The 17,185-nt window shown below is 33.2% G+C and overlaps 1 annotated feature.

The window, feature by feature from the left end:
* Positions 16,490 to 16,687: a silencer, noted in NCBI's record as "fragment chr13:71853958-71854155 (GRCh37/hg19 assembly coordinates)". NCBI's record gives its function as "represses an EF-1alpha promoter that drives an FKBP-Casp9 reporter gene in an ReSE screen in K562 erythroleukemia cells {active_cell/tissue: K562}" and the evidence as "EXISTENCE:reporter gene assay evidence [ECO:0000049][PMID:32094911]".

A 17,185-nucleotide genomic window follows, 5' to 3' on the forward strand; every position in this document is an offset into this window, starting at 1 on the left:
CTGTGTAATGATTAAATCAGGGTAATTAGCATACCCATCACCTCAGACATTTATAATTTCTTATGTTGGGGACATTAAGAAATCTGTCTTCTAGTTATTTGAAAATCTATAATAAATTACTGTTAACTATAGAATGTGAATCATTTAGATCTAATATTGAATGCTATTGATGTGAAGATGAAGACAATATTCTGGGTGGGGAAGAGGGCGAGTGGAGGTAGATAGAGAAGAACCAAAAGATTGAAGAAAAGTGAGCCTCAACAACGTGGATAGCTAATGAAAGGGCTGGTACATGACAGTGAAAATTGGGTTTAAGCTATTATCACTCAGTTGTGACTTTGTTACAGGAGATGTACATTTGTTCTAAGTAATCCAGGAACTTAGCTCAATTACGATCCAGGCATTCTCTTAAAATACTATCAAAAATAACCTACCCCAGAATGTTTCTATCACTTGATTTTACTTTATTGTCACTATAGCACCAATCACCATCTGAATTACCTTTTTAATGTGTTTAGCTGCAGATTGTTTTCTCTTACATAGTAATTGGATGTTTCCAATGATGTATTTATGAATTTCTTTAATTTTAAGGTAGTAAAGAGAAAACAAATCCGTTTTTTTAAGGTCTTCCTTCCATGGGTTAATTTATTGGCTTGCTAAAATCTCAAACACTATAAAACAATTAAGAATATCTGATATTAAATATTATTTGGTAATTTTACTTATTAATAACTAACAATTCATTTTAGAAATTAAAATGCAATGCCTAATTTAAATGTTGAAATTTGTTCAAAATAAACACATGAGCTAAAAAGTAAAAAGACACAATATTTATCACTGAAAGGAATGGGCAAAATGTTCGCATTTGCCATTTCTACGAAGCATAATGGACAGCAGCTCATATTTTATTTAGTTCTCCAACAGATGGAAGGAAACTAATGTCACTAAGTGAGAGCTAGGAGACATTCCAAAATTAACAACAGCAAATATAAACAGTTTAGTCCATCTCTTTCTTGAACATTAAAAAAAACCTTGTACTTTATCAAACAGTAGGTTATTAAATGAGTATAGCCTGGTATACAGCAGCAATTTGAAGAGTCATTTTGCGTGTTAAAACTGACTGAGCTACTAGTTCTTTGTATTTTACTTTAAGATTAGTTTTTATCTATCTTTATATTTCATATTGCATTTAAAATTCAATTAGGACAGAGGTTTAAACTGTTTTTGTTATTACTGCTGCTTGCTTATTTGTTTCACTTTATAGTCTGTTTCTTCAGAGAGACAAATAGGCATTAGTTACCTGAATTATTGGCTTTACATGAGTAAATTACTTGCTAACTCAAAACTCATTTCTTTATCTACTACTCCCCAAAGCATAGGAAATTTGTAAGTTTATTAGAGAAATAATATTTTACAAATAACCTTGAATTCTTCCTACTGTACAAAATTATTCTTCAAAACTTGGCTGTTTTAATTATTACCAGTAACAAAATAATAATAAGTTAACTCTCTGGAGGAATATATGTGAATCCCAAGTTTCTGCAATATGTCGTATCCAGAATACAATTCACAATTCTGTGACCTTTGAGGAAATAAATAAGATTTTAAAAAAATAAATAGAGACAAATCATGGGATGACTCAGATGTTGAACTTAGCAGACAAGGATTTTTAAATCGTTTTTATAATTATGCTCAAGAATATAAAAGAATATACACACTGTAATGAAAGAAAAGATTAAAAAATCTCAGCAGAGTAGAAACTATATTTTGAAAATGTAAATACTTAAATGGAAAAATAAAAATTTTTAATTATACAGTGGTACTGATAAGTGTCTAGGAAATGCTTACATATAATATCAGAAATAATAAATGATAACTATTGCTGCTTCCTACCAACCTGCTGGGAAAAACATAAAATGTAGCCATATTCTGAGTAGGTGGCTTAGATTTCAATCAATTAGTAGCTGCTGCTATTGATTCTTCTGTTTCTTCTTCTTCTGTTTCTTCTGTTTCTTCTTCTTCTGTTTCTTCTCTTTCTTCTTCTTCTTCTGTTTCTCCTCCTCCTCTTCCTCCTTCTCCTCCTCCTCCTTCTTCTTCTTCCTTCTTCCTTCTTATTTTTTTTTAACAAATAGTATATCTCTGAAAAAATAGAAAATACATTGATTTCTCCTACAAAAGTAGCTTACAATGTTGTGATTGAAGGGAGAAATATCGCTTTATGGGAGCAATAGTATTAAATATCTATACATATGAATGTCATTTATTACTTTTCATTATTATTAGAAACTAAAATCTTATAAAATAATTTGACAAAAGGCATAACCAAATTGTTTTGAAAACCTTAGTGAACAATTTTGTTTTTATGATAAATGGCATGTTCTTATTATCATTACTATTTAATCTTTCATTCTCAAATGTCTTCTTACTGTCTATCCCTAATATAGTTTCTCTCAATTTCCTACTGTTATACTCATGAAACCAAAGAAGGCAAAAACACATAACAAAGTTAACAGTGGCAGTCAATCTATTACCAAAATATATCAGAAAGTAATATTATCTACGAGGCCCTTCTAATTGTATTTATTGCCTGGAGTCTGGGAATGAAAGAAATAAACCTTGCTGTCCTGAAAATAAGGAGGAAAAACACACTACAGAAAAGAGCATAAGTACCAGTGAAATATTAATAACTGTCTATTTGTGTTCAGAAATAATATAAAAATAGCTACTATCAATACTTCTAACATTGTGCTAAAGGTTCTAATCAATACAATGGGTAAGGAAAAATAAATCAAATATTTAAGGGTTTGAAAGCAAGACATGAAATTGCTTTTTTCACAGATGACGTGATTGTATAAGTAGACACTCAAATGGATATATAAATGGTTAAAATTGATAAATTAATTTAGTCATGTCACAGAATATGATGTCAATATATGTAATAGTATATATATATATGTTCTGCATATATATGTATATTTTCTGCAACAAATTGAAAATAGTGTAAAAAGTAATACTATTTACAGTAGCTTATAAACATTGAGCACGTATGAATAAATATAATAAAAAGATGTTCAAGCCCTATATATTGAAAACTATATCTGAAATTAAAGAAGACCTAAACAAATGGAAGTTTATATTACATTGACATGTTAGAAGGAACATACTTGTTCTCTTCAATGATCTGTATATTCAATTCAATCCCCAATAAAAATCCAATAAGTTTTATAAAAATCTAATTCTAAAATTTCTTTTGAAATTCAAAATTTCAAGAAGAGTCAAAACATTTTGAAAAAGATCAAATCATAAAATTCCACTACCAGATAAAAAGGCTTACTTTAAAGTGATAGCAATCAAGACAGTTTGTTACTATACCAGAAAAATTCAAAAAGACCAGTAGAGTAGAGTAAATAGTGTAGAAATATACCAATATTTATGGTCGCTTGATTTAAGACAGATGTTAAAACATAGTATTTTGAAAAAATAATGGACTTTTAAATAAATGGATTCTGTCAATTGGATATTCATACAGAAAAAAAATGAATCTTGATCTCACGCCACACATAAAAGTTAATTCTATGTGGTTTGCAGATTTGAACAGAAAAGTTAACCTAACACAACATTTAGAAAAAAAATAGAATATCTCTATATCCTTAAATTTAAAAAATGATTTTTAAAATTATATGCAAAATAGAGTCATTATAAAGGAACAAAAAGTTGTCAGAATTAATTTCACTAATGTTAAAAATTTTGTTTAACAAAAGACACTACTAATATAATTTAAAAATCAATCTTTAGAGTAGGAAAATAGTTTTATTACATATATCAGATAAAGCACTTAGTATATGTAAATAAATGGTATAAATCAATAAGAAAAGGAGCCACCACTAAAGAAAGTGGACAAAAGACTTGAACACATTCCTCAGAAACTGGTTTTCTAAATTGCTATTAAATGAATAAAAAGGTCCTTTAATTTCTTTATCATAGAGGAAGTGAAAATTCAAACCAAAAATAAAATCACTGCACAACTCCCACAATAGCTGAAATGAAAAGGACTGAAAATATACCAAGTATTGGCAAGAATATGTACCAACTGTAACTTCCATACTTTACTGGTGGGAGTTTAAATTGAAAAACCACGTTGAAAACCATTTTCTAGGATCTATGAAAGCTGAACAAATGCATATCTTATGACCCAGCAATTGCACTCATAGGTATAAAGCCGACAGAAATGTATCCATATGTTCAGTAAAAGAAAGATACCTAATGATTACAGCAGCACTATTTGTAATAGCCAGAAACTGGAAACAACCCAATGTTCGTTAGCAGTTAAATGGATAAAGGGTAGTATTTTCATAAACTGAATATTACATAGTATGAAGATTGAATGAATTTGTGCTAAATATAACAGCATAAAGAGCCAGACCAAGCACACATGCTGAAAGATACCATCTATAAGGTTCAAAACAAAAGGAGGTGGGGGGGTGCAAAACTAATCAGTGGTATTAAAAATCATGACAGTGGTTAACATTTTGGGGATATTGCCTAGGAAGGGTCATGAGAGGAACATCTGTTCCGTTTCTTGATCCAGGTTCTGGACACATGGGTGTACTCGTGATTTTTGCAAATTCAACAAGCTGAAAATTTATAGTTTGTGCACTTTTCTTTAGGTATGCTATACTATTATGAAAAGTTTTAAAATCTATACAAATTTGGTGACTACCTTCTCATAAAAATATTTTTAACATCATAAGTGGATAAAAAATAAGTTTATCATCACATGCCTTCCTCCCACACCTTAATATTGCAAACCCCAAAAGCAATCATTTAAAAAGTACAGTATGAAGAGGCGATTATCTTCATATATATGTGTACGTAGGGGTCTCTGTAATGGTGATATTTTTATAAATATACCGAATTTATTTTAGCACCTACATAGATTTCTAGGATGTGGTTACAATTACCTGCTTCCACTTGCAGATATTTAATTTGTTTCCTATTCTGCCATTTTACACAATGAATTACCTGTATATTTAAGCATATGCTTATGTACATACGTACAGATATTTTTGTAAAAAAAGATTTTCTAGATTTGGAATGGTTAATACAATAAATGAGTAATTCTACCTATTAAAACATGTTACCCTTTTACCTACGTAACAAGCCTGCACATCCTGCACATGCACCCTGGAACTTAAAATAAAAGTTGAATAAATAAATAAATAAAATTAAAGTTATTTGAAATAAAAAAAGCTACCAAATTGCTACCCTATATGTATAAAGCATATATGTTTTATAGTATTAATTTAGATAAAATTTAATTATATATTTTTTACTATATAAAATTATCACATTAATGAGGGATAAAAATTAAAACAATGCTTACCTTGTAGAAGTAACCCATATGTGAACACTAAAGTTAATCTATGAAAATAAAAATTTACTTCATCTAAAAATGCCAGAGAAAAAAGTTTGAGGCATAAAACTTGTAATCTGTTGTGCAATATACAGGGTTGATTGCAAGCACTTTCCAAAATAAATTATGGTGTTTTCTAGAAAAAAAAAAACTAGTAAGAATGAAATTGTAATGATAGTTAATAAAAGGTACTGTAAGTTATTAATTTTCATCAGTCATTGCAACAATGGATGCATTCAACACTCTTCCCTGAGATAGAAGTTCTCATGTTTTTATGGGGAGAGCAAGTCTGCCAGGTTCCACAATCCTCCTCATGAATATTTTCTACTTAGACAGAACATGTCAAAGGAATCAACCTACAGTCTGAAATATTTTGTTAAAAGGCTATGTCCAACAGACACTGTAGAGACTAACAAAACCATTATCTCTCAAGTGGAGTTACCCTGATGACAAAGAGAGTTAACCAACCAGTAACAACCACAGAAACCAATACACATTTTGATTAATTGAGAAAGAGAGTCACTGAGTTCCTATAACAATAGAGGATAACGAGGGAACCAAGTGGGACTGCTTTCTGAAGGAACCACTACCCCTTCTCCAGTTCAGTCACCTAAGGTGCTGTCAAAGTCTTGAGATAAAGATACTGAACAATGTTCTAAACCAGCGGTCCCCAACCTTTTTGCCACCAGAGACCAGTTTTGTGGAAGACAATTTTTCCATGGATGGGGAGGTGGGCGTGGAGGGCACGGTTTCAGTGTGATTCAAGCACATTACACTTATTGTGCACTTTATTTCTATATTATTACATTATAATAGATAATGAAATATTTCTACAGCTCACAATAATGTACAATCAGTGAGAGCCCTGAGCTTATTTTCCTGCAACTAGATGGTCCCTTTTGGGAGTTATGGGAGACAGTAACACATTATCAGGCATTAGATTCTCACAGGAGCGCACAACCTAGATCCCACACTTGTTCAGTTCAAAATAGGGTTTGGGATCCCATGAAAATCTAATGTCACCACTGATCTGACAGAAGGTGAAGCTCAGGAAGTAACGTGAGTAATGGGGAATGGCTGTAAATGCAGATGAAGCTTCCCTTGCTTGCCCACCACTCACCTCCTGCTGTGGGCCGAGTTCCTAACAGGCCACGGACAGGACTCCTGTTCTAAACCACCCTGTGCTTGGCTGAGGTGACTGTCTTCCTTACTCCTACTTGTAGTCTTATGTAAAATCTCCGTTTATCAAGGCTGTAAAGCAATATAAAGGATGAGTTCAGGAAACCGTATCTCATAATAGAAATATACTGTTGGTGATTAAAGAGTTTCTAGAACAACTGAAATGTAATTATGGTGATGAAACTGTTACTCCAGGGAAGAATAATTGGAAAGAGTTTTTGACTAAAAAGTTTAACCCTAATAAATTAAGTTATATTCCCTGATGAAGATGACAACAGAAAGCTAACAACCTGTATGACATCCACAAAATGGAACCCAATGCTAGCCTTTCTCTAATACTTCCTAGAGGACAGATCATTTGGTGCATTTAGTAAATATACCAGCTTGTGGATTCCTTAATTTGAAGACAAATTAAACCTCTTAGTGATGTACAAAATAGATTGAAGGGACAAGAGACTAGTCAATTAATGTCATAATATCAAACTATTTTAATTGATGTAACTTTAACATATATTTTAATAAATAGATTAATTGTATATTAAAATTCTCATGATTATTCCCTAATGTTTATTTTACACACACTTTTTAAATTGATTATCTATTTTTCAAGAGATGCTGTTATTTGAAATTGATTCTATGTTAATTAGAGAGATTGATAGCTTCACAGTATTGAGTGTTTCCATGAATGGGATATATGTCTTAAAATCTTGATTAAAGACCCTCAGTAGCATAAAAGTTTTATTTATTTAGCACTTCCAAAGTTCTTATTTTCCCCTAAGATGTTTTACATATATGTCTTGTTCCTGTGAGTGGAAACTCTTCTTCAGTTACATTTTTTAACTGATTTTTGGCTTATATATGACTGCTTTTTAAGTAGCCACTGTGCATACTTCTTTTTGTTTCTATTTTTTCAAATAATTGTATTTTGTCAGAAATATAAAATATTGTTGGCAAAAGGATTTTGCCTTCTTCTTTAAAAGTGTCATATTTCTCTATACTCTGTGTAGATTAATTGCATTGGTTCATACTTCCAGAAAATGTTTGAATAATAATGATAATAGTGGGCCTGCTTCTCAAGGTCGTGACTTAAGTAGAAAAGTTTTAAGATGATTTTTTGTCTGGCATATTTTCTGTCATGTTGTAGAGACAATCTGGATGTTTATTTTCAAGATTCACTTTTTAATCATGTGTTAATGTTTAGTTTTATCAAATGCCTTATCAGCATCCATAGAAAGTATCATTTTATTGCCTTGACATTTTGTCATGTTGACATACCTTAGTAAATTTTCTAATTTTGAACTAAACTTCTATTTCTGATATAAATCCCATTTGTTCACATTAATATTCTCTACAGTCTATTCACAGATATACTTTTTAAAATTCTTTTTTATATATGTATATCTCATTTATAAGTCTAATTTTGTGTGTGTTACTCTAATTGTAAGCTTTGGATATAAATAGAATGCTGCATTTGTAAAAAGTGATTATAGGTTCCTTTTGTCCTTCATTCACTGTGCTCTTAAAAATTTCAAATAAGGCCAGGCATGGTGGCTCATGACTGTAATCCTAGTGCTTTGGGAGGCTTAGGCAGGAGGATCACTTGAGGCCAGCAGTTTGGGACAATCTGGGAACATAGTAAGATATCTCTACACACATACAAATTTATTTTTATTAGCCAGGCTTAGTGGCACACAACTGTAATTCCAGCTACTTGGGAGGCTAAAGTGGGAGGATCACTTCAGCCTAGGATGTCAAGGTTACAGTGAGCTATGATTGTGCCACTGCTCTCCAGCTTGGGCAACAGGGAGAGAACTTGTCTCAAAAGAAAAAGTTTCAAATAGCATGAGGATCTGTTCTTTATATTTTTTATAAAATTAATCTACAGAGATGTTTTGTTCTATTGGGCTTTTTAATTAGCTATTGTATAACTTGTCCATTTGTTTTTGAGTAATGAATTTGGTTTTATTTTATTTTTTATTTTCTTAAACTCAGTGGCAATAAATGAATTTGTTTAGTTTCTTTTTCCATCTCTTTTGGACCAAATGTAAAAATTGTATTTTTCCAAGTAAATCATGTGTTTATATACCTCTTTATGTTATTTACTTGAACTTAAGCAAGATGATCTCTTGACTCAATTAACATCTATTGTATTTATTATTTTGCCTCTTAGTTAATCAACTATTAAGTGCCATCTGGATTTTTTGACTATTAGTTATTTCTTTTGTTTTTCTAAAATTATAGAAGTATTATGATCTTATTCGAGAACTTAGAACTCTTATAAGAGAACTTCGAATAATTGGAAGGGGACAACTAATTCAATAGACTTATACTGAAAAAACAACCTTGTTAATCTGAATGTGTAGGTGATTTATTAAGAATGGTGTAATTGTTTAAGTTAGAGCCCTAGATCCTTGTCCTGTGTTTCCTCTACAGAGCAAACATAGTAAGACCCATTATGAGAGTTATACCTTAGAAAAATGTATTGGATTCCTATCCTAGTATTTACAAACTCAGTGACCCAGGCCCACTCTAGTTCATGTATTTTCACCTTTAAAAAAAAGTTAAGAATGTATTATGTGCCTTTAGTGTTATTGTGAGGGTTAAATGATACATGTAATATGCCTTAAACAGTATTGACAAAAAGTCTATGCAAAACATTTTTGGTTAAAAAAAAGGAACTACAAACAAGTGATTAAAAACTGCTTTGTATTTCAGCTAACTTTATTTTATATGTTTAAATCGTATTGTGCTTGAGTTGACTTTTATAGCAAAATCTTCATTTGGACTAAAGCTTTAAATAAGCCTTTAATATCTAATCTGAAATACCAAGTATAAGACAAATAATTGCATATTATATATATATATAACCACATATATTACATTTATCACTTTATTTTTGAAATTAGGCCTATATTTTGAGACTGTCCATAAAATGCACTTTTTCTTTAACCTCTAAAGATCTTGTTTAAAAACAATAATAAATCTCTTGATTTTTCCTAGAATCTTTTCCTTTGAACAAACATTTTATCTTTGCCCCAGTCCAGTGTTCATTAACACATCAATAAGACTGTTCAGTTTATTTTCCATCTTAACATGATTAGTGGACCACTGTTTATATATTTTTCTGTTGCTTTTACTAACTATTCTTCTTGCCAATTGTCCTCTGTTTAAAGTATACACATCCTCCATCTGTTGTAACATTTTGTACCAATATCCCAGCTGTACTAACTCTATTAATTGCATAGAATTTATTGGACATCATTACTCAGAATTAATCCTATGTGCTAGGGAAACCTGAACTACTTATGAATAAAATTGTTCTAAGTTCAATTTGTTGTAGTTAGAGTTAATTTCTAAAATCAAACATTTATGCTTTCAGTTTCCTTTGGATTGCGGTATTGACATGAATCTATTAAAGTATTTTATCCAGTCATCTTGCCAGAAATTAGCCTTTTTGTGTGAGAAAAAAAGAAGCTAACCTTTTCTTCTCTTTGAAAACAGGGCATTGGTGACCATTTTGAAATGAAGTGTATGGATTCTGGCAAAAACATGACCGAGAGTATATAGATAAGGGCTTTATTTTACAATCTGCCTCTTGTTAGAGTAAATGGCATTGGAACTGTCGTTAAACATGAGTCTTAATTTTCTACTTTGTAAATTTTTAAACTGACATTTTAAAAATCTTTTGCATGCCTTAGATAATGATAATTTAAATGAATTAGCATGCATCAAAGTTCTTCCACAGTGCCTGAAACTGTTTTTTTTTTTTTTTTTTTTTTTTGATAGAATAGAGATATTAGGCTAGCTGGCATTAGGTCTCTTTCTCTTGTATTCCTGTCTGATTCTCATGTAAACTTGACATGTAATAACATGGCTATATTTATACCTTTTTCCTGTCTATGCACTATTCTCGTTTCCCAAATAACTTTGTTTTCCAGAGCTCCTCTATACAGTCATTTCCACACTTAACAATCACAATCCCTCGGAGCATAATGAATCTTGAGGGTAAATCTTTGGACCTAAAAAGACAGAATATAGAATATTTCTTTTTTTTTTTTTTTTTTTTTTTTTTTTTTGAGACGGAGTCTCGCTCTGTCACCCAGGCTGGAGTGCAGTGGCGCGATCTCGGCTCACTGCAAGCTCCGCCTCCCGGGTTCACGCCATTCTCCTGCCTCAGCCTCCCGAGTAGCTGGGACTACAGGCGCCCGCCACTACGCCCGGCTAACGTTTTGTATTTTTAGTAGAGACGGGGTTTCACCTTGGTCTCGATCTCCTGACCTCGTGATCCGCTCGCCTCGGCCTCCCAAAGTGCTGGGATTACAGGCGTGAGCCACCGCGCCCGGCCTAGAATATTTCTTATCCAGTTATATATAGTTAAGCTATCTCTTAACCTACTAGGAAATTATTAATCTCTTAGAACACAGAACTTTGGTGTGGATTTGAATCTTGGGTCTACTTCTACTTATTATTTGAGCACCCTTGAAGCTGCAGATTGGGGGCTGGTGCTGAGTATCAATACATGACTGTAACAGTTTGGGGGTTTAAATACAAGTACAGGAATTTGCCTCATCTAACGTAAGCAAAAACTCAACAGATCTTAATTTATTGAAAGCATGCTCTGATGCTTACATAATTAACAACAACAAAAAATGGAGAAGAGCGTTTTAAAAACGCTCAGGAAAAGAAGGCCAGAAAACAAAAATCAGAGCAAGCACACTTAAATTCTACTGATTCCACACAAACTACTATAATAAATATGGCAGCTCACCATTCCCTTTTTTGCATGTCACTCATTAAAGATTCAAATTCACAGGAAAGAAAGTTTGATAGACTGACTCTAAATCATGTAAGTGGCCACATGTGCCAGGAGAGAGTGAAGATCTGACTTCTCTACCTTTCTTACTGAATGTGACCACTGCCTCTAACCATGACTACACGCAATCAGGTATTGCCTAGAAGGGAGACAAATATGCTAATAAAAGGAGCCAACAAGGACAGATGTCCACCACACTGAACTAAACCTTAATCTCTCAGAATGCAATTCAAGCATGCTTATTCTAGACAAAGTTACTTAAGCATTTTCTTAAAATTATGATCAGGGAGTTAACAAACCCAATAGAGTCAATGGTCTAAAACACAGCGAGGCAGGATTATATTTCACTACTACCATGGACAGGAAGATATGCAAACCAGCTAGGTAACTGCAGAAGATGGTGTTCAGTCCCTTGTATATCATGATGGACATTCTTATTAACGTTCAGCTGCAGGCAGCGTAAGTGATTTGAATCACTTGTTGGGTGAAATTTTGTCTGTTCATAGCTTCCTATCAGGAAACAAAATGCCATCTGATAGTTATCCATTTAAGAGCTATGACAGACACTGTTATCTGTTTACCCAAAAGCAATTCACAGCTCACTTTGCTGTGAGATTTTGCCTCTTCTTATAGAAACTGAAAGTGTTAAAATGCTTATATTTTCTGCCTTCCCCTTTTCATCTAAGGGATGGACAAATGACTCAACTATTGCCAACGAAATTTCACAGACAGCGACTTAGGTGGCTTGCTGGGAAGCTTTTCTAATTAAAAAAAAAAAAATGTGGTCCAAGGGAAAATATATTTCCTCAAATTCTGTTTTGATATTGTAATCTGAAGCTGTGCTGCTTAGATTTGCTCTGACCATTCAAATTCATTAAGAGGGAAGAAAACTTAATATTAGAGAGGATAACTCAGACTTGTGGCAGCCTTGAAACCACCTCTCTCTGGAATGCTTATTAGGTGAGAAAAAGCTATTCCAATCTGAAGCCATTTTAGATATGTCCTCTGTTGCTTGCAACTAAAAACATGATAACTGATAAATAATCTGGAAAAGGGAAGTGGGTTGGCACAATTAAGATATCCTAAAATAAGGAATTTGTGAGTAGCTGATATAAATTTGAGAGATTAAGTATCCTAGGCTGCAGAATTAGTAGACTTTATAAGGCAGTAAACATTTGAGTAAACAGTCTTCTGATATACTTTGAAGTATTGAATAGCTCTTGAATCTGTAGTATTATGAAAAATAGTAGGAAAACTAAAAATATTGGTATTTATTATCTATTTATTGGAACTTATGCTAGGTCATACAAAAGAGATACACTTAGCTGGCTGGGCACGGTGGCTCATGCCTGTAATCCCAGCACTTTGGGAGGCTGAAGAGGGAGGATAACCTGAGGTCGGGAGTTTGAGACCAGCCTGACCAATATGGAGAAATCCCGTCTCTACTAAAAATACGGCATGGTGATGGGCGCCTGTAATCGCAGCTACTCAGGAGGCTGAGGCGGGAGAATCACTTGAGCTCGTGAGGCGGAAGTTGCCGTGAGTCGAGATCACGCCACTGCACTCCAGCCTGGGCAACGAGAGAGAAACTCTGTCAAAAAAAAAAAAAAAAAAGAGAGAGAGAGAGAGATACACTTAGCCTAAAGTTAACTAGTCTAAAAGAAAGCCAAGAAAGAAAACAGTAGAGATACTTTCTATCTCTTACCTTAACTTCCACTGTGCTAGTGAGTCTGAACTTATTTAGTATATTGGGATATGGGCCAATCTCAATATGGCAATTGTGTCCCACTTACTTTCTGGCTTACAACTGGTCCCACTGGTGTTCAAAGCAATGTTGTCTTCCAACCTCTTGTCATGCTAGAGAAACACTCATGCTAGCCTTTTAGAAAAGATTCCTCAAAATATCTACGTATTTTTAAAGTGAATTGACACCTGTATTTAGGCTTAAAAATGGGTTTCCTTAGGAATTAACTAAAATTTGGACCTTAAGCTCTGTCCATTATAATCCAGAAGCTAGAAACACAAAACTCAAAGTATGTTTTTAATGAAATTGTAACAAGTGGATCTTTTAGCTTCTTGTACTCCCAAACTCCAGCCTCTCTTTTTCTCACTCCAACTGATATAGCAATAAATGTAGGCATTACTGTGGCAGAAACCAGAAGGCCACTCTGGAAAACATTTTCCTATATTCACTTACCATTAGTTAGGGCTATATAATTGGGTTCTGGCTAATGGAATGTAAGCAAAACTGATGTATATGCTCTAGGCCTACTCATTAAAGGTTACATATTCTCTAGTCTTTTGATCTGTCACTCACATAACCAAAATCTCAGGATGCTGAGGTTGCAGAGACACCACCTCATGGAAGGACTTCAGGGTCTTTGAGTCACTGATTACCAAAAAAGCCACCCCAAAAGCCTCCCAACCCAGTTTGAACTGTGGTGAAATTTTAAAAATGGACTTTTATTGTATTGAGCCACTAAAATGTGGGGTTATCTGTTACAACAGCTAACAAACATTATTTTGGTTGACATCATACTTTACAGAGGTTTTGATTTAGGGCATAATCGTTTTTTATCTGTAAATAAAATTGATCATTATCTATCCCATTTCTGATACCACTTCATTTCCAAAATGTCTGTAAGTTTCCAAATACATGTGCTCTTATTTCCACTTCTTGCTCTATTTTCTAGTTTTGCTAAATTTGATCAAATTTGTATTTTGCCTTTAGAAGATACATTATCTTCTTTTCATACCATGTCAACTCAGTTATGAAAAACAGTTTTTCTTTAATTATTTGAGAATATTGTTCACACAACCTTTACAGAATGTGTGAGATGATGAGGGAACTACATGGCCTTTTGAGTAAACAAATATATTATAAGCATTAGGCATACTTTTCTGAAGTCTTTTGGCCCCTCTCATCTACAGGAGTTTTTCACTCACTAACATACACCTTGCCTGTTTCCACCTATTTCCGGAGTTCCCCTTCTTTCAATCCATTCTCTGTTGTCCTCAAGAAATTCCTTTTAACTTCTGCAGAAGTGTTCTCTTTGCCTAGCTTTACTTCACTCAAGATGACTGATCATCTTCATCATGAAACACATTTGTTTTGATGTGTTTATAAAAAAGGGTTACTTGCTTGACAAAAATTCTATAAATACTACTAAAATAATATCTCTTTCTTCCCGTCACATCTTCAAAGCCTTCCCTCCATCCAAAGAGATGTACACTTTTTTCCATATATAGGTAAGAAACCTATGGGTTGTATAACTCCAAGAGGACCAGGCCTTGGAATTTCTAATAACTATGTCACCCTTCTCTGAGGCACTCACATAGGAAATACCATTGTTTCCAACACACCTCATATATTCTCTTGACACTGTAATACCACTTAATTCTTGAACCTATGCTTATTAACATCAAACTCTGTCATTGAAATTTTTTTTGAAGTGGGCAAATCTGATCCTGACTAACAATGAAAACATATTTTGATCAAGTTCAAGGTAGGGAGCATCCCAGATTACTCTTGAATTATACAAAGTTTGTGAGCTCTATCTATTAGAAACAAAAAGAGAGACAGAGAGAGAGGGAGAGAGAGAGACAGAGAGAGAGAGAAAATATATTAGAGAAGAGACAATAGAATAAAATTAGAATGATGATTTTTGCCACTAAGTTTTACAAAACAAAAAGAAAGTTGAATCAAAATAAACCCATCAGAACTTTTCTCCTGCATGTGTTAGAATACAGTGTGTAGGGGCATGTGTAAAATGTCCTGACAGAGCCATATTACAGTTCTCTATTGGATTCTTATGTAGGCTGGCATAAAGTTACTGTTAATTGCTTGAGGGCTATATAAGCCTTTTTATTGAGTTTATTGAAAAGAGTGTTTGAGAAATGCCTATCCAACTCTGGTGAGCTGAGTAGGTTAAATAAAGCTTAAACAAAGCTTTTTTCATCTTAAGCATCCAAGTTACTCGGCAGTTTTGGGATCACAGTGAGACCCCGGAGAGAAGAGTCAACAAAACCAGGCCATAAAATCAGGAAGGCATTGAATGTTTGGATTCAGGATTAGACACAGAGAAAATGGAAAGAATGACTTTAAAATGCACATTCTCTGCAACAATGTAAAACCAATTTACAAACATTTTGTTGAGATTGCAGAAGGGAGACATTATGAAATATTTTTAGCAAGCAAAAGATTCTTTGAACTATACTTAGTAATGTTATTTATATTTTTGTTTAGTCTAACGGCTTTATTATTTTTAAGAAACCTAATATATTTGCAAGGTTTTTACATGCTCACTTGTTATTTCTCTCTCCCTATACCTGTTTCTGAAACAAATGCAGGTTTGGTGGGCCTAAATCTTACAAAATACTGAATTCTTCTTTATTCATGTGGCCAACTGAAAACATGACTAGGACCCTTCCCAAAATCTTGCTAAATATTATTAAGTTTCTGAAAATTTTGCCTTTCTCCATTCCTTATTAACTTTCATTTTATTGACCAAGAATTCTGTTACCAGAAAGTTTATAACAAATTAAAGGTAATTTTGAGGCAAGCATATGACATTGTTCTATTTTCAGAAACTTATCATAAATATTTTGTGCTCTATCATTTCAGAATTCACCTTATATTTGGGTGCATGTTTAATGTATATAGATCCTATTTTATATTTACCCTAGATATAACTTAATACATATCAATTCCTGGAATTATTGATCCAAAATATTTCTTGCAAGTTTTCCCTTTTTCTCCAGCTCTGATGTCCTGTTTTCTTCTTATTTTGGAGTACAATATTGTATAAATATTATATAACTTGCTTTCTCTTTTCAATATTATATTTTCCGATCTCTATGGCCAAGTTGTTACTTTGTCAATATCAACAGATAGTAAATATTTGTTTAAAAAGCAAATTCAGGGCCGGGCACAGTGGCTCACGCCTGCAATCCCAGCACTTTGGGAGGCTGAGGCGGGCGGATCACAAGGTCAGGAAATCGAGACCACCCTGGCTAACACAGTGAAACCCAGTCTCTACTAAAAATACAAAAAATTAGCCGGGCGTGGTGGTAGGCGCCTGTATTCCTAGCTACTTGGGAGGCTGAGGCAGGAGAATGGTGTGAACTCGGGAGGCAGAGCTTGCAGTGAGCTGAGATCGCACGACTGCACTCCAGCCTGGGTGACAGAGTGAGACTCTGTCTCAAAAAAAAATAAACAAAGCAAAATCAACAGTCACATGTACAACAATATTTTTATTATTTTAAAAGTATATGTTATTAAATTGTATGATGACTGTCATTTTCCCCATATTTCTGTTTCCTTCCTTTCTTCTCATTTCATATGTACTTGCAAGTACAGAACATTTTCTTATCAATGTATAAAACGAGTCTAGAATGCTGATTTATTTTAACAGGCGAAGTCAAAAACAACAGAAAATGCAAGCAAGAGTATATTTGCATAAAATGGGTTTATTCTTTTAAAGTCACTTAATTTTAATCATTTTACAAATCAAATTTTTTATTTAGTTTTTCTGGGTACATGGTAGGTGTATGTATTTATGGGGTACATGAGATACTTTGATAGAGGCATACAATGCATAATAATCATATCAGAGTAAATGGGGTATGCTTCACCTTAAGGATTTATCCTTTTTTGGGTTACACATCATCCAATTACACTATTTTAGTTATGTAAAAATGTACAATAAATTATTATTTACTCTAGTCACCCTGTTGTGCTATCAAATACTACATCGTGTTCATTCTGTCTAACTATATTT

Source organism: Homo sapiens, chromosome 13, assembly GCF_000001405.40.
Source record: "Homo sapiens chromosome 13, GRCh38.p14 Primary Assembly".
Classification (NCBI taxonomy): Eukaryota; Metazoa; Chordata; class Mammalia; order Primates; family Hominidae; genus Homo; species Homo sapiens.